At 47.9% G+C, this 18232-nt stretch overlaps 2 annotated features.

Annotated features, from left to right (window-relative positions):
* Positions 8812-8931: an enhancer, noted in NCBI's record as "active region_4192". NCBI's record gives its function as "activates an Ori minimal core promoter by ATAC-STARR-seq in GM12878 lymphoblastoid cells {active_cell/tissue: GM12878}" and the evidence as "EXISTENCE:reporter gene assay evidence [ECO:0000049][PMID:35858748]".
* Positions 17144-17645: an enhancer, noted in NCBI's record as "H3K4me1 hESC enhancer chr10:126881561-126882062 (GRCh37/hg19 assembly coordinates)". NCBI's record gives its function as "activates a minimal SCP1, AML or CMV promoter by ChIP-STARR-seq in primed H9 embryonic stem cells {active_cell/tissue: H9 hESC(primed)}" and the evidence as "EXISTENCE:reporter gene assay evidence [ECO:0000049][PMID:30033119]".

The following is an 18232-nucleotide window of genomic DNA, read 5'->3' as shown; positions in this document are numbered from 1 at the left end:
CCCCCGTTTGCCTAAGATGTAAGTAGAGTGCCCATCACTTACATCAATATCGGTCTCTCTCCCTCTTGGTCCCATACGTGCCTTACTCACCACCCAGGAACCCAGCTCAGGAGCTGGCATGGAATTAGAAAGCAATGCACGTGGTAGTTGCCAAATGATACACATTTTTAGGGTGACCAATCATTGTGATTTTCCCAAGACTGAGGGGTTTCAGGGCTAGAAGAGAAGCAGTCCCAGGCAAACTGTGAAGCCTGGTCACCCTGAACGTTCTCCATCTCTCCCTCTTCCCCCAGGTCCAGCTCTGGATGCACCAGCTCTTCCTGGTGAAAGAAACAAACAAACAAACAAACAAACACTTCCCAGGGCACTTCCCAGGGCCCAGGGAGGAAGTGCCAGCCTCTGAAGGCAGAGTTGTTGGCAGCCCTCTAAATCTGTGCACTGAATCCATGATCACTCTGAGCCCCCTCCCTCCCAGGGCCTGCACTGGCAAAGCCCCAGAACTCGGTCAAACCAGAGCTTCACAAGTTTGTCCTGGGGTGCAGCTGGACCAGTCCTAAAGGGGCCACTTACTGTCATTTTCGGGCATACCCCGGGCGTTTGCACAATCCATAAGTGGGTTTTTTTTCCCTCCTGGGGATGTACTATTTGTAACCGGATAGTGTAAGAAAAAAGCTTGTGGGCAAGACATTTCTAGAAAACTGTCTTCTTTCTGTGGCTTCTTGTTCCACCAGCCTCAATGAAGTTCTGTTAACTATTATAGGAAAAATAGTTAATCTCACATTCTCTTCTGGATTCTTGAGGAATCTTTCCCAACCACAGGCCCCAGAAACAACAGCCTTGACCTCCATCATATGACCAGGGAGTCAGCTTCCCAGGATCGAGGAGACAATTTGTTTGAGAGGAGAAGGGACAGACGCTGTTTTGAGCAGACTGGCAGGAAACGAGTTGTGGATTTCCTGCTGGAAACCCTTGCAGCGGAATAGAACTGAATTCTCCCACTTTCAACGATCCCTTTCCCTTGCTTTCTCTTTGTCAATATGCTATTATCTCCAGTGACTCCTGCCCTCCCAAGAAAAATGAGGCAGGAAATAGACAATAGAAGAGGGAATATGGCAAATGCATATTTCCTGTCAACAATATGCCTTCCTAATAGATCGTCAGATGAGTATTTTATTAGAACAACGATTATGACAGCTACAATATTTCCAGAGACAAACGAGGGTGAATCTGAGCTAGAGGAATGTGGAAGGAGCTTTGCCAAAAAACAGCATGGGTTTGGGGCTTGGCTGTATATCTGGGCACCAGAAACGTACCCGTTCTAATCTTAGGTCTGGCTCCAATAGATGTGTGGCCATGCTCGCGGACACAGACATGTCCTCTCCCTTCCTTTCTCCCTCTCTGGCCTGAGGTTGATAACATTCACAAGTCTCCCTCCCCGGAGGCCTGTGCTTGGGACGCCCTGGGTGATGCACCCCGAGGCGCTGAGAGTCCCAGAGGCGGCTGTGAGAAGTAGGCACCTGCAGCTCGGCTGTTCTCCCTGGCTCCTGCTTTTAGGCGGCTGAGTCCTGACTCCAACCAGACAGGTTCCCTACCACCCTCCCGCCGAGCTGGGGCACCACGCCCAGGCCCATCTCAGCCTGCCCGGCAGCCCACGCAATGGATCCCATCCAGGAACACAGATGCCTTCAGAGCTTGATGGGGAGGGGGACGGAAGGGGCAAAGAGTTTACAAAAATGCCTCCGTGGACGCTTCCTTTTCTAGCCTTGGAGCACGCTGCCTGCCTCAGAGCAGAGGCACAGTGGTGATGGGCCTTGGTGCAGAGCTGAATTCAGGCCCCAGGCCCTTGACCTTGGGCCCCCATGGTCTTACGGAAGTGCTCACCACAGTCCAAAATATCATAGGTATGGTTTCTGATGAGTGTCCACCTCCCCCCGGGACTGTGCATTCTGTGAGAACGAGGGCCAATCTAGCTTTGCTTACCATTTTTCCTGGAGATTATAGCAGCCCCTGGCACCTAGTAAGTGCTCAATACATGAGTGCATGAAGCTTTTCATGGAGCAGCTGCCGTCTCTGCTCCTGGTGTGGCCACCATGGGGAACAGTCTCGCATAGCATCTCACACACAGACAGGACAGAAATCGTCCGTGTTTCCCCAACCCAAACACTCAGGCTCCAATTCCCCCTTGCCCCCACAAAAGATAAGGAAAAGCTTCCTGGTCCTGCTTGAGGGAGTGCGAAGTACCCAGAAACCAGTGTTCTGTGAATTGAGGCACTGGAAGGTTCTTTTGCTGGGGAGAGGTAGGAGAGGGAGAGAGAGAGTGACTGGAGCTTCTTTTCTTCAGGATTTAGAAGAACAAGCAAAAGAAAAAGGCACACTTCGTTGTCCCTGGGATCCAGAACAGTGAATTCAAATAAAGAATTCGTCTCATCAGTGGACAGCCAAGAGGAGGGCAAAAGGGAGAGAAAATTCAAGTCCAAGGAGATCTTCCTTTTCTTCACAGCGCAATGATTTGAAAAGCTTCATCATAAAGTGGGGACTGCCTATGCACGTTCCATTTCAAACTTCATCATATTCTGAGATGATAAAGTCGTCTCTGTCACGTTAGCAAAAATAAAAATAAGAGAACGGGTAGAGGCAGATGGCTTGAGGGCTTTATGAAAGAAAAGAAAAGAAAAGGCAGAAGTTTAACCTCCGGAGCAGGGTCTATAAATAGAACCAAAAAATCAGTGAGACATTAAAATTGATGGTTAAGCAAAAACACAAGTAAGTTATTAAAGAACAAAAAAATTGTGTACAACAATCAACTACTCAATTAATGGAACCATGTCCGGATGAGTAAATGGAATGGCCAGAATGGAGGTCCTGCCAAGGGTGGCTGGCCCCTTCCAGCCCACTCTTTTGCTATCAGCACAGCTAGGCCCTCCACTGCCAGGCCCTCCAGCCCCATTCTCCAGAAAGACGGTGACCCCAGGGCCCTAGGGCCGACTTCAAAGAAAGTTCAAAGATTCCTTTCAACTTGTTAACTAGTCCTACTTTGTCCAAACATGGACTCAGCTATTGGAGGCCCAAAAGGTGAGTCAAAAAAAAGAAAGCAAAAACAGCTCATGTCCTATAGAGGAGTTATTGTCGAATTTCAAAATGAAACAAGCACCCTCAGAACCGTCAATCATGGCAGGAGAATCTCCTCCGGAAGAGACGTGCACAGCTCCTTGGAGTTTGCTTTCTTCTGAGGAGAAAGTAGTTTATTTTCAAATCATAAAGGTTATACAAACAGAAAGTGTGAAAAATGCAGAAGAATATAAAGACCAAAATCCAAAATGAGCTGTAACCCATCAACTAGAAATAATCAGCCTCTACTTTTTGATCTATTCCTCTTTTCTTCCAGTCTTCATACATATATAAAAATATTTATATTTTTCCAGGCTTGGTGGCTCATGCCTGTAATCCCAAAACCTTGGGAGGCCAAGGCGGGTGGATCACCTGAGGTTAAAAGTTTGAGACCAGCCTGGCCGATATAATGAAACCCTGTCAGTATTAAAATACAAAAATTAGCTGGGTGTGACGGTGCATGCCTGTAATCCCAGCTACTCAGGAGGCTGAGGCAGGAAAATCGCTTGAACCCGGGAGGCGGAGGTTGCAGTGAGCTGAGATCAGGCCACTGCACTCCAGCCTGGGTGACAAGAGCGAAACTCCATCTCAAAAAAAAATGTATACTTTGTAAATAGCCTACATTGTTCACATACTATATCACAAGCAGTTTCCCGTGTCACTGTATATTCTTTGAAACCACAATTTATAAGTGGTGGGATATTTCATCATATGGCCTTGCTCTGATAATGTATTTAGCCATGACACCCTTGACAGGCATCTAGGGTAGATTCTAGACTGTTTCCATTAGGGGAACATATAAGTAAGTAATGCTCAAATCTCATCTAAGAGTCTCCGATAGCATTTCTAATTTTTTCCATAATATAGGTTCTTACAAGTGGAACTTATTGGGTTTGAGGAGAGAATTCTAAAACCTCCTGATATATATGCCAAATTGGATTTCTGAACGATTGCATCAATTTAAACTCTACAAGCGATACAAGTGATTGTCTGCTTGCCGCCTGCTGGCCAGCTTTGAGTGCTAGCATTTTTTAGAATTCCTGCACTATCTGCCAGGCATGGTGGCTCATGCCTGTAATCCTAGCACTTTGGGAGGCTGAGGCAGGTAGATCACCTGAGGTCAGGAGTTCAAGACTAGCCTGGCCAATATAGTGAAACCCCGTCTCCACTAAAAGTACAAAAATTAGCATGGTGGTGGGTGCCTGTAATCCCAGCTACTCGGGAGGCTGAGGCAAGAGAATTCCTTGAACCTGGGAGGCAGAGGTTGCAGTGAGCCGAGATCGTGCCACTGCACTCCAGGCTGGGTGACAGAGCAAGACTCCATCTGGAAGAAAAAAAGAAAGGAAGAAAAAAAGAAAGAGAGAAAAAAGAAAAACAATCCTGCACCATAGATTTGTAAAAGTAGAAGAGGTCTTTCCAACACATTTAATCAGGAGTTTTCCTGAAGAAAGCAGCATTTGCAATGGGGCCAAAGGGGTGAGAAGGATCTCACGGTGGAAAGGGGTAGAGCTGCAGCTGGAACGAGCCCTCTAAGCAAAGGGTCAAAGGCAGGAAGGGACACTCCAGGATCGGCAGACAGTCCTGCTTGGCTGTGTGAGGAAAGGGTGGAGGAGCTGCCTGGAAGGAAAGACCAGGAGGACAAGGCCAAGGGCCTGCAAGGACTCCTCACCAAGAGATGACATCTGAGCTACAGTCCAACAGAGGGCCTACCAGAGAGCCCCATCTCTCACCATCTTCTGCCATCCCAAATTTCTGGCTGTCCCTGATATGCCAAGTTGCTGTCACCTCCAGGCCAGTCCTGGACCTGGACATCCTGTTCCACCAGCTTACACTTAGGTCCAGGTGCAGTGGCAGCCCCCACAGCAAGCCTTCCCTGTCCAGCCTCCCCACCTGACAAAGGTGCCTGCCCTGTGCCCCTTCCCTCTGGGCAGCATCCCTCTCGTGTGGTTGGAGTCTGTCTACGGGGGTCTCACCAGAGTCACCTGCAGGGATTGTCCTAGGCCCAGAGGCTGGAGCTGGACTGTGCACACCTATCCAGCATCTCAGGTGATTCCATGGATGCTCAGGTTTGGAAATCAGTGCACTTAGTCCTTAAAGGAAGGACCCTGTTTTCACAATAAGAAAAGCTGGCCAGAGGGAGGGAGAGCATCAGGACTAACAGCTAATGCATGCAGGGCTTAATACCTAGGTGATGGGTTGATAGGTTCAGTAAACCACCATGGGACACGTTTACCTATGTAACAAGCCTGCACATTCTACACATGTATCGTGGAACCTAAAAGAAATTAATTTTTTTTTTAAAGCTGGCATTTACTGAGTATCTACTAAGTACTGAGCACTGTTCTAAGCACTTTACACCTGGTTACTGTAATCCACATGACAGCTCATTATTACCCCCAATTTACAGGTGAGGGCACTGAGGCCCAAGCAAGTCACCCGAGCAAACCACCCTGTGGCTCTATCACAGTCCCAGCAGGGAAGAGATACCACTCAAAGTCATTATTTGAGAGGCGTTTATTGAAGGGGGGATTTACGGAAGTGGAAGCAAGGTGTAAGGGAACCAAGAAGGGATGGGATAGTCTCCTCGGGCCAGTGACAGCAGGGGACTCTGCCCATTCCTGGCCTGCAGAAGTAAGGGGTGACAGTGAAAGCCATGGTGTTCAGTGAAAGGTGCAGCCAGTCCCTGACAACCAGCTGGCAGGGAGCTGAAGAAAGATCACCCCTCCCCACTCTCCTACTGTCTCCCATCCCTTGTCAGTGTCTCCTATCGGCTAAACTCAACTAGAAGCAGAGGTCCAGGAAGTCCATGATATGGGCCACGCAGGTCAGCCTCCAGGGCGTGAAATAGAATCCAGAAGGAGTCTGGAGGAGTAGCCAGAGCCCTGGCACCATCCCACAGCCAGTAAGGGGCAGAGGGAGCTGGATTGAACCACATCCTTCATCACTGCCCCATCCCACAGCCAGTAAGGGGCAGAGGGAGCTGGATTGAACCACATCCTTCATCACTGCCCCACCCCACCCTGGCATCTCCAGGAGCATGTGACGTGTGGCCCAGCGTGGGCTCTCAGCACCTTTTGTTAAATGCACCTTTTGAGTAAATGAATGAATTCATGCACTGCAGGTATAATGCCTGTGGATACTGGAATCAGGCCTGGGTTTGAACTCTAGCTTCCTTGCTTAGGAATGGGTGACCTTGTACAACTCACTTCATCTCTCTGAGCCTGTTTCCTCGTCTGTAAATGGTAGGTAATCATAGCACCTGCCTCGCTTCCCTGAGGTAAGAAGAACTTGAGATAATGCATGTAAGTGCCAAGCACCAAGCATCAATAAATGCTAACTACTGTTGTTATTGCTGATATGGTACATAATTGAATGCATGTACTGTTTTTGGGATACAGACTTAGGAAGCCTAGTCATTTGCTATACTCATCTGATATTTGGCAGAGGGGAGGTGGGGAGAGAGGTTGAGAAGGGCAGGTAGAAGGATTTTCCTTGGCATCACGGCCAGCAAGTTTGGCCACCCTTTGTGTTCTTGTTCTGTGTATGAAGAGCCCCCTCTGACTTCATTAGTCATGAGTGCAGCAGCAAGCAATAAGTTAATTTCTAACTGTGGTACTTGATAAATTTTCCATTTACCTCATTAGTTTTTACAGCCTGCAATATTTGTGAGAACACTTCCAATTAACCATATGGGAAGCTTCAGTATGGAATCACAACAATTTTTTAAAATGTGTTATTTAACCAAATAAGAATCACAGTCCCCAGAAATAAAAATGCTAGAAACCAGCAATTGATTCCCTGGGAAGGTATTTCCAGGAGGTTGTTGGTCGGGATTCTGAAAGGGGTTCACCTGGAGAGGAAGAGGCTGACCTGGACACTCCCCCTGCATCCCCAAAGGGAGTTCTGGGAGGGCTCCCACAGGGGAAGGGCTCCTGGCACCAAAGCCAGAGCACGTGACTGGGTGTCTGGAGGGCCCGTTCTGAAATCTCACCTATAGCATAGCTGTATGTGCTCCTCCTTGATTTAGCTATTAAGCATTCCTCAACTTCTTTTATTTTTTTTTTATTTTTTTTTATTTTGAGACAGTCTCAGTCCATTGTCCAGGCTGGAATGCAGTGGCACGATCATAGTTCACTACACCCTCAATATCCCGGGCTCAAGGGAACCTGCTACCTCAGCCTCCTGAGTAGCTGGGACCACAGGCATGTGTCACCATGCCCGACTGATTTTTTTTTTTTTTTATGGAATTTCGCTCTTGTTGCCCAGGCTGGAGTGCAATGGCGCGATCTTGGCTCACTGCAACCACCGCCTCCCAGGTTCAAGCAATTCTCCTGCCTCAGCCTCCCAAGTAGCTAGGATTACAGGCATGTGCCACCACACCGGGCTAATTTTGTATTTTTATGGGGTTTCTCCATGTTGGTCAGGCTGGTCTTGAACTCCTGACCTCAGGTGATCCACACACCTTGGCCTCCCAAAGTGCTGGGATTACAGGCATGAGCCTCCGTGCCCAGCCTGATTCTTTTTTTATATTCAGCAGAGATAGGGTCTCACTATATTACCCCGGCTGGTCTCAAACTCCTGAGCTCAAGCAGTCCCCCGACCTTGGCCTCCCAAAGTGCTGTGATTATAAGTGTGAGCAACTACACCTGGCCTCAACTTCTTTTCTTTGTTTTGTTTGGTTTAGTTTGAGACAGGGTCTCACTCTGTCACCCAGACTGGAGCGCAGTGGTGCAATCACAGCTCACTGCAACCTCAAGCTCCTGGGCTCAAGCAATCTTCCTATCTCAGCCTCCTGAGTGGCTGGGACTACAGGCATATACCACCATGCCCTGCTATTTTTTTACTTTTTGTAGAGACAGGGTCTCACTATGTTGCCCAGGCTGGTCTCCTGCCTTGGCCTCCCAAAGTGCTGGGGTTATAGGTGTGAGCCAGCATGCCTGGCCCTCTTTTCTTCATTGATGATCACCAGAAGCCTGTGAGATGGGAAGTGGTCTTCCTGTTTCATAGCTAATGGGACCAAGGACCGGAGGGATTCCAAGACTGCCAACGAAAGTGCATGACCCCGCTGGGGCTCAGGCCAGGTTTTCTGAAGCTGACTCCTACAGACTGGGGACTCACTCCATACTCAGGCCTTTCCTAGGGGCCGTGATTGGGCTACCTGCACATTCTCTGGGATGAACCTCCCAGGCCTCGGGCTGAGCTTATGGCTAAGGCTGGGCCATCAGATATGTCATTCCCCTGATGCCAAGAGTGGTCCAAGCCATAGGCAGAGGCTCCAAATGTGTCCCCAGAAGTCTGCATCCTGGAATCAGGAGAAAGGCATTCAGAATTCTGTCCTGGGGCTAAGTGGGAGAAGCAAATCCAGAAATACCAGCAGCCACATTCTTGACCATGAAAGAGAATTTGGCCTGCGGTAGGAGGTGGCGACACCAGCATGCAGAGAAGCCAGCAGATGTGGGGTGAAGTGTGGGTGTGAGGAGGGGAACAAGAGACAACAACTGCCAAGCTGATGATGCCCCTGATCCCTGGGGCCAGCTCCATCCCTGCCTATGCCAGTAAGTCCCCCGGCCACCCAGGCTAGCTTGAGTAGGGTTTCTGTCACTGCAACCAAGTAACAGAACCGAAGTCTCAGTTTCCTCATTTATAAACTAACTTAGGGAGATGAGATCAGCTGGTTTTTGTTTTGTTTTGTTTTGTTTTTGAGAAAGAGTCTCGCTCTGTTGCCCAGGCTGGAGTGCAGTGGCACGATCTCGGCTCACTGCAAGCTCCGCCTCCTGGGTTCAAGCAATTCTCTGCCTCAGTCTCCCTCATAGCTGAGATTACAGGCACCCACCACCACGCCTGGCTAATTTTTTTTTTATTTTTATTTTTAGTAGAGACGGGGTTTCACCATCTTGGCCAGGCTGAGATCAGCTGTTTTCAAACTGCCTCCAGAGCACTGGGAAGACCCACAGGCTGGGGGATAGGATGGAGGGGGATACCTGGGGTTCCCAACCCCACGTTGGGCTTCTGAGCAAAGTGTTCTTGGATTCTGAGTCTAAACAAAGTGTAAAAACCACAGGCTCAGGTGACTCATTCAGCTGAACTCTCGGCTTTCACACATTGGCCCCAGGAAAAACCTGGGATTTAGCCCCGTGGGCACCTCTGTCCATGGTTCCATTGACGTGGAACCGTGTCAGTGGTTCATGGGGGCTGGTCATGGGGGCTGCCCAGGTCCTTCCTCTTTCTCTCACTCTGTGCATGAGTTACTCAGAGCAGCTTTTCTGTTGTAGAACAAGGAGCGTGTGGACCTGCTGCTGACTCATTCTGTTTCTCTGCTCTGTCAAAGTGAACTCCTTCACCTGCAGAGTGGACAAAGATTCAGGTTTCTGGCCTCTGTCACTGTCTGCAGGTGCAGTGGCCCAGGCTCAGGACTGGCAGTTGAAAGACATGGGTCTGACTCAGACCTGGTGCAGCACTGAGACCATTAACCTACAAGAACAAAATGCCCAAGCCCAGGAGGCTTTATGAATTCAGATTTTTTTTTTTTGAGACAGGGTTGCACTCTGTTGCCCCATCCGTAATGCAGTGGTGTGATCATAGCTCACCGCAACCTCAAACTCCTGGGCTCAAGTGATCCTCACACATCAGCCTCCCAAAGCGCTGGAATTATAGGTATGAGCCACCACATCCAGCCTTCAGATTTTTCCCATCCCCAGAAGGAGATATCCAGCAACGGGTGAGATATGGACTTGTCCATGTTTTAACAATATCATCACTAAAGCCACAGGGCCCTCTGTCTTTCTGCCATGCCATCCTTAGTGTGATGGGTAGGGTCAACTGCCCATTTGCTCTCAGCTCCATTCTCTGCTCTGCCTTGTTTCAGAGAACTGCAGTTCCCAGGATTCTAGGGAGTTCAGCCAATGGGAGGCACTGATGGAGGATTGAAGGGCAGATGGAGTGAGTCGGGCATGTCTCTGCCTCCCTCTGTGCTTCCTGCAGCATCTCTGGCAGTGATTGAACCTCTGCTGTACGTAGCTCAAGCTCCCATCAGACACCACCCTGATGCTCCCAGCTCCTTCCAAGAGGCTCTCGGCTGTAACTTCAGATCCCAGCTCCAGCTTCTGGGTGCTTACTCCTTCCTCCTCTGTCCCTCCAGCCCTAGGAGTGTTAACAGTATCTGTAATTGCTGACCTCTTGGGGCAGGGGAGGTGCTTTGGCATTCCCCTTTGGCTTATCAGTCTTCCATCATCTATGTAAGCAATCACTGCATTAATTTCCTCTGTTTTAAACACCTAGAGTGGTTCCTGTCTCCTGGCTACACACCAGCTAATTAGCAGTCAACTTCAAATTTTGCTCTCATGGCTGTAAGATAGCTGCTGCAGCTCCAGTCATCACATACTCGCCACAAACACATTGAAAGTCAAAAAGAAAGACAGTTTCTCCTTGCTGGCTTCTTTTTGCCAGGGAAGTAGACCCTTTCCAGAATTGGGCAGGATTGAGTCAGTGCCCATGCTGCAGCTGGAAGAGAGGACAGAAAGGTGAGCAGCCAGCATTTTTAGCCCGTATAATGTGAGATGAGCTCTTCAAGCAAGACAAAGGGAGTTGGGCAATGGCTGCTGAGTAGCATCCAATCATGTCTGCCACATGCACTTTGAGCATGACCTTGCTCAAGTCACCTCCTGTCTCAGGGCCTCAGCCTCCTCATCTGCAAAATGGGGGACTTTGGTGAGATCAGTGCTTCAAACTGTGCTCTTTAGAGCCCTAAGGTTCGTAGGAGGTCCCTGTGGGGCCACTGCAGGGCCACTGTAGGGGTCAGGGAGTGCGGTCTGAGCAGGTAGGATCCTATCCCAACTTAAACAAGAACAGTTTCATTTGATCTTTTTGGAAACAAAAGAATTCTGCTGGATTCACTGATTATTAATGCCCCTAGCAGCCCTCTCAAGGACCCAGATTTAACGTTATAGATCAATTTATAAAAATGAGGAAATAACCAGGATGATGTTCTTGCTAAGAATGATCCATTAGCTTTGGGGGTTACTCATAATAAACTTTGGAGATTGATTAAGCTTCTTGGCTCTTTGCCAGCTACTAACCAATCTGCATGATGCTGCAGACTCTAGACATGAAGCGAAGACATTCTCCCTGAAATATTCTTGACTCTCTCTCTGTTCTCTTCAATTATGAGAAGGCAAATACTTTACATATATACAATTATTTTAAACTCTTTATCTTGCACAGAGGAATTGATCCTTGCAGGTCTTTCTTGCTGGCCTTGACACTGATGAATCGCATTAGAGATGGTCTCAGAAAGGGAAGACATGGCCCCTAATGGATGGCTCTTCTCATCTTAATTTTTCCCCTGGAGGGTCTTCTCCATCTGGAATCTTCCTTACTTCCCTTTGTGGATTTAACTCTGTAAATGCCATGCCAGCATCAACACCCACTTTATTTCTGTTGTTTGAAGGCCTCTTTTACATCAAAGGTTCAAAGGCACAGACTGAGAACAGCAAAACCCTAAGAAGCCTCCAGGCACTCATCAAGGCTCAGCCCTGCGCTGAGAAGAGCTGACACCATCTCACAGGTACCTTCAAGGATTATCTCTTAAACACCTACCCTGTGACCCACATGGTCAGAAAGCAATCCTAGGCCCTCAAATTGTTTCGCCGTTTCACATTCTCTTACTTGGATCTGTGGGTCCTTGAAGCTGTTCGGTTAGCACCTTGAATTCTGTCTGGCACAAATCAGACAATGCAAGTGATGTCATCCCCATGTTACAGATGAAGAACTGGAGGCCCAAATAGCTGAATGGCTAACTGTCTCGCCCAAGGTCACACAGGTAATAACAAGGTCAGCAGTTGCACTCAGCTCTGATAATTCCGAGTTGAATGCCCTAGCATGGGGTTTGACTCGTAGGAGATGCTCGATAGATTCCACTCTCTTTCCTCCTCCTCTCTTCCTCTGGACTATCTCTGTGGATTCAGCGCAGATGAAACAGGTGGGTCCAGGTGTGCCCGGCCTTCTGGCGACCTCACAGGATCTGCTGGGGCCTATGTTACAAGGCAGTTTTTCTGCATCAATTACCATATAAAATAGGAATATGGTCTCATTATGAACTATTCAAATAATACAGGTTAAAATAATACAAATAATACAACTCAAGTCCCCTCAGAACCTCACTTCCAATTCCAGACTCCTTTCCAAAGTAACTCCTGGCATTTGTACAGTGTGGATCTTTCCAGATTTGTTTCTATGAACTTATCAGTAGAAGCATATAAAACTATCGGCTGGGCACAGTGGCTCACGCCTGTAATCCCAGCCCTTTAGGAGGTCAAGGCAGGAGGATCACTTGAGTCCAGGAGTTCAAGACCAGCCTGGGCAATGTAGGGAGACCCCATCTCTATAAAATATTTTAAAAATTAGCTCAATGTGGTGATGCACACCTGTAGTCCCAGCTACTCAGGAAACTGAGGCAAGAGAATCGCCTGAACCCGGGAGGTCAAGGCTGCAGTGAGCTGTGATTGTGCCACTGCACTCCAGCCTGGGCGACAGAGTGAGACACCATCTCAAAAAATAAACAAATAAATATAAATATAAATAACAAGCATATAAAAATATCATTTAAAGAAATATGTAGTTGAGTTTTTTTATCTGCTGGGCTTTTATTAATTTAAACAGTATCATACTCTATGTATCTTTTGCAACTTGCTTTGCAGAATGTTCCAAATCACTGTGTACATATTGGCCTCATTTGTCTTTTTTCTACAGTTTAGTGGCCCAATCCTCAGTATGGATGTGTTGTTAATTTGTTTAACCAGTCCCTTATTGATGAACATACGGGTTTCTCCAGAGTCTCACATTAAAAACAATGCTGCAATGGACATCCTTGTCTTGGCTTCTTAAGCATGCATGAGTATTTCTCTGGAGAAAAAAAAAAAATGAGTATTTCTGTAGAAAAAAAAAAAAAGAAACTGTGCCAGGAGTTCCAGACCAGCCTGGACAACAAAGCAAGACCCCATCTCTACAAAAGGAAAAAATTGTTTTAATTAGCTGGGCACGGTGGCACACACCTGTGGTTCCAGCTACCACTTAGGAGGCAAGCAGGAGGATCGCTTCAGCTCGCAAGTTTGAGGCTGCAGTGAACTGTGATTGTGCCACTGTACCCCACCCTGGGCAACAGGGTGAGACACTCATCTCTGAGAAAATAAAAAATAAAAATATCATAATCTAAGTTAAAAGAAGGAGACTGGGAGAAAACAATTGTAACATACATGACAGACAAGGTATTAATAAGCAGATTATACAAAGAAATGTTTCAATTTAATAATAAAAATTCAACGCAATAGAAAAATGGGCAAAGAATATATGAGGCAATTCATCGAAGAAATACACATGGCCAATAAGCATATAAAAAGTTGCCTCGGCCGGGCATAGTGGCTCATACCTATAATCCCAGCATTTTGGGAGGCTGAGGCAGGCGGATTGCCTGAGGTCAGGAGTTCGACACCAGTCTGGCCAATATGGTGAAACCCCGTCTCTACTAAAAATAGAAAAAAAATTAGCTCGGTGGGGTGGCGTGTGCCTGTAATCCCAGCTACTCAGGAGGCTGAGGGGAATTGCTTCAACCAGGGAGGTGGAGGTTGCAATGAGCCAAGTTCGCACCACTGCACTCCAGCCTGGGCGACAGAGCAAGACTCCATCTCAAAAAAAAAAAAAAAAAAAAAAGGTTGCTTCACCTCACTGGGAATCAAGAAAAAGCAAATTAAAACAGCAGTAAGATACCTTTTTTACTCACTGGATTAGCCCAAATCTCAGACATTGGCAAGAGTCTGGGGAAATGGATACAGTGCTGGATGGCAAATTGCTCCTGTCTTTTGGAGGCAGTTTCCACTTGTGGAACAACAATGTTTCTCACTATCTACTTGTTCATGCCAGGCACACATCATATACCTGATGTCCCAGTGGGGGTCTGGAGCCGAGTTGGGAGGAGCTGCATGCTTGGTGGGACAGGCCTCGGGTGACCACGACTCAAGGACTGCCCCACCATCTTGACCAAGTGGTTTTTTCTAAATAGCGCTCCAGCCCCCAGGCCTATGGGCAACTGCTCACAGTTCCTAGTGAGTCAAAGACACCTCTAGGGTGAGAGCAATGTTTTATGGGGTGGAGTGGGTGGTTCTGAAGAGACCACATGCACGATGACCATTCTTGCACGTTCTTGGTATAATTGAGATGCTGTCGACCTGCACACTACGGTACACAAATGACGCCACTATGGCCAGAGCAGTGGGTAGCAATGCTCTATTTCTCCACTCAAAGGAGGGCTCACTCCACACCTCCTCTAAATGTGTAGTTTCCTCGCAGTCTCTGGGCCGTTCCCACAGGCGACATGCATCCGCGGCAGGCCTGACATCACATCCTACTGCCGTGGACAGATGGCTTTGACTTAGAGCTGCACCTGGTTCCCAGAGACTCAGCCTCTACAAAGGATCGAAGCTTCATCTGGGCTTTGCCTTGCAGCCCTCCGTTGGCCAAATCACTGGAGGATGACAGTCAAGCCCGAGGCCCATGTGACAGTCTTGCAAACCACATGCTTCACTTGAGCTGCATCAAACCTGGAGAAGGCGTTTTGGGGCTTTGTTTATGAACTTGAAGGAATACTGTGACTGAGACTCAGGGAGCAGAGGTAAGAGACAGCCCGGCTTCATGTAAATGTAACAGGCCCGTCCGATCGGACAGGCAAAGATAAAAGCCAGCTAAGGCTATAAAGTCAGTGACATGAATAGAATGACAACCATAACGTCAAACATAAACAAACAACTCAAAATCCACCTGCAGTGTGGTTGTTCGGAGCTCTCCAGCTGTGAGGACACTGGGGTCATAATGGAAGGACACAGGACTCTAGGAAACCTCTTTCCTGGTTTCCCAGGACCAGCCTTGGGATTTCCTATCAGGTCCCACCCACTGGCTCTGATGCTTCCATACCCCTCTGTCCTCCCCCACCCAAGTCCTACCCCATCCTTGACTGGAAAGCCAGAAACCTGGGCTTTCACGGTATCCTCCTTGCCAATATCAGATTCTCTGTAAAAATACAGTAATCTGAAGTAACCCTGCAAATTTTTCCTATTTTCAATAACATGGTATCAATTTGTAAACAGAGTAATGATTCTCTGTTACTTTTCAGGAAATTATGTTTAATATAGTTGACTAGAGCAAAGGAAGAACAATTTAATTGAAAGAGCTGCTATGAACCATATTTAACCTCAGATGTACTAAATGGAGTGTCTCAGAGATAAGTTATGGTTTTTAATTTAATGTAAACTATTCTGTGCATAAGTATTGTGTTTTTGCCACTCTAATAATGACTGGTTGGGGTTTATGAACTATTTTTTCGATCATCTCTTTCCTCCGGTGAATACTGCTCATGAATGCTAAACCCAGTCTGGAGGTTTTCCCCACACAGAATCTAAAATGAAAGGCCCTGCCAGCCAGGCCAGCTCTGCTATCTGGTGACGCCGCGCCTCAAATGTGACACGTGCTCACACTGGAGAGGATCTCCCGGTTTTTGAGAAGTGCCCGTATTTCACCGCCCGGGTTCATTCTGCACCCAGCTGGCTCCTTCAACACTCTGATTAATGGGTTCCAGCCACTGCACCAGCACTTTAAATTAAGTTTTGTGCTCACTAAGATTAATTGCTAAGTGAAAAATATTGAAACTTTATTAATCATATAATTCATTTGAGGGGATAATCCCGGGAAAATGTAGTATGTGGTTGAAGTTAATCATCTGACTGTAATGGATGGGCAGGAAGATGGAAGGGAGCATGCTGGGCACCTCACAGCCCAACCTCCTCCGTCATTGGGGGTGCAGGCAAGCCGTGCGAACTGGCACCAACGTTTTTTGTTTTTAAGACAGTTGCTCAGGCCGGGCGCGGTGGCTCACGCCTGTAATCCCAGCACTCTGGGAGGCCGATGCGGGTGGATCACCTGAGGTCAAGAGTTTGAGACCAGCTTGGCCAATATGGCGAAACCCCGTCTCTACTAAAAATGCAAAAATTAGCCGGGCATGGTGGTGGGCGCCTGTAATCCCAGCTACTTGGGAGGCTGAGGCAGGAGAATCGCTTGAACCCAGGAGGTGGAGGTTGCAGTGAGCCGAGATCACGCCCTGCACTCCAGCCTGGGCAACAAGAGCAAGACTCTGTCTGAAAAAAAAAAAAAAAAAAAAAAGACAGTTGTTCATATGTTCATTTGCATAGTGAAGCCATCACACCATCACCAACACTTGCTTCTTGGTCCTCCCCTCTCCCAGCCCAGGCTCTGGCGAGTCCTATGATGGCCGGCCTGCTGCCCTGTTTTTATTTTATATTTTATTTTATTTTATTTTATTTATTTTATTGTGGCAGGGTATCACTCTGTCGCCCAGGCTGGAGTGCAGTGGCATGATCTCGGCTCACTGCAACCTCCACCTCCTGGGTTCAAGCGATTCTCCTGCCTCAGCCTCCCTAGTAGCTGGGATTACAGGCACCCGCTACCATGCCTGGACAATTTTTGTATTTTTAGTAGAGATGGTGTTTCACTATGTTGGTCAGGCTGGTCTCGAACTCCTGACCTCAGGTGATCCACCTGCCTCGACTTCCCAAAGAGCTGGGATTACAGGCAATGGCCACCCTGCCTGGCCTATTTTATTTATATCTCTTCTCTTGTTTATCTGTTTGCTTTTCAGAGGGGGCATTTGTTGTTTTTCTGGCCCACTGGACATCTACTCCCCTTATTTGGGTAAAACCGCCAAGTTCCCTCTAAGAAACTGTTCCCCAACTCTCAGCCCTGAGCTTCATTCAGTTAGGACTCCTGGGGGAGAGCATGTGACCCAGTGTTAGCCAATGAGACTACTGCATTCACCTGGCCACAGTAACTGGTTCAGAAATGAATACCTGACCTAATCAGGGCCGATGAGACGCAGTGAGTCCTTTCCCGGGAAGGCTGGGATGGAAGCTGGCCCTCGTCTTTAGGAAAGCTGCGAGCACGGAGGGCTGGAACTGCAGGCGCCATCATGCTAGCACAAGGGAGAGGACAGCGAGGGGCCACGGGGGAAGCACAGTGAGAAACAGGGAGAGACCGGGTCCTGGTGATGTCATTTGAGTCCTGAAGTTAGCCCTGGATGTTGGACACTGGGGTTTTGTTTTGTTTTGTTTTGTTTTGAAGTTATGTGAGCCATATATTCTGTCTTTGCTTGAGCCAGTTTGAGCAAAGTTTTTTGAACTTGAATCTTGAGTGAAGTGGCAAAAGGACGAAAAGCACCACTCGGCCAGGCTTGGTGACTAACGCCTGTAATCCCAGCATTTTGGGAGACCGAGGCGGGTGGATCACAAGGTCGGGAGTTCGAGACCAGCCTGGCCAACATGGTGAAACCCCCATCTGTACTGAAAATACAAAAATTAGCCGGGCGTGGTGGCAGGCGCCTGTAATTTTCCAGCTACTTGGGAGTCTGAGACAGGAGAATCGCTTGAACCAGGAAGTGGAGGTTGCAGCAAGCCGAGATCATGCCACTGCGCTCCAGCTTCGGCAACAGAGCGAGACTCTGTCTCAAAAAAAAAAGCACCAGTCAGAGGGCCTCCATTCTGGTAGCTTTATGACAAGGTGGTGAGTTAGTTCTTGCCATCCAGATTCCCGGGACTGCCCTCTTCCTGTCTGTTCCTAAACCTGGTTCTCATATCCAGCTTCAGTTAGCTGGTGTCAGCTTCCGTTGCTTGTAGCCAGAGCTTCCTGATGGAATGTAGAGGCTGTTATTGGACAGCGCGGCACCCAGGGTCTCAGCCACTTCATCCATCTGCAGACCTGGATCCGCGGGCATCGCTGTGGGCAGGTCTCAGAGACAGACAGTTGAAGGGAAAATCGTGTTGCAGGATGATAGCATCTGTGTACATTTTCAAAGCACACGAAACACTGTAAACTGTTTACAGATTCAAACATATGTAGTAAAATTATTAAAATGAAATGGGAAATATACACACCGAATTTGTGTCAGTGGCCACCTCTGGGGAGGGGTACAAAGGAGACTTCACCTGGATCTGCAATGTTTTATTTCCAAAAAATAGACCCAAGGCAAGTATGTGATGCTACTGTGTTGGGTGTATGGGTGTATTCTCTG

Source organism: Homo sapiens, chromosome 10 (genome assembly GCF_000001405.40).
Source record: "Homo sapiens chromosome 10, GRCh38.p14 Primary Assembly".
Taxonomy (NCBI): Eukaryota; Metazoa; Chordata; class Mammalia; order Primates; family Hominidae; genus Homo; species Homo sapiens.
Note: the sequence above shows the minus strand (reverse complement) of the source record. Positions and strands in the feature narration are given on the sequence as shown.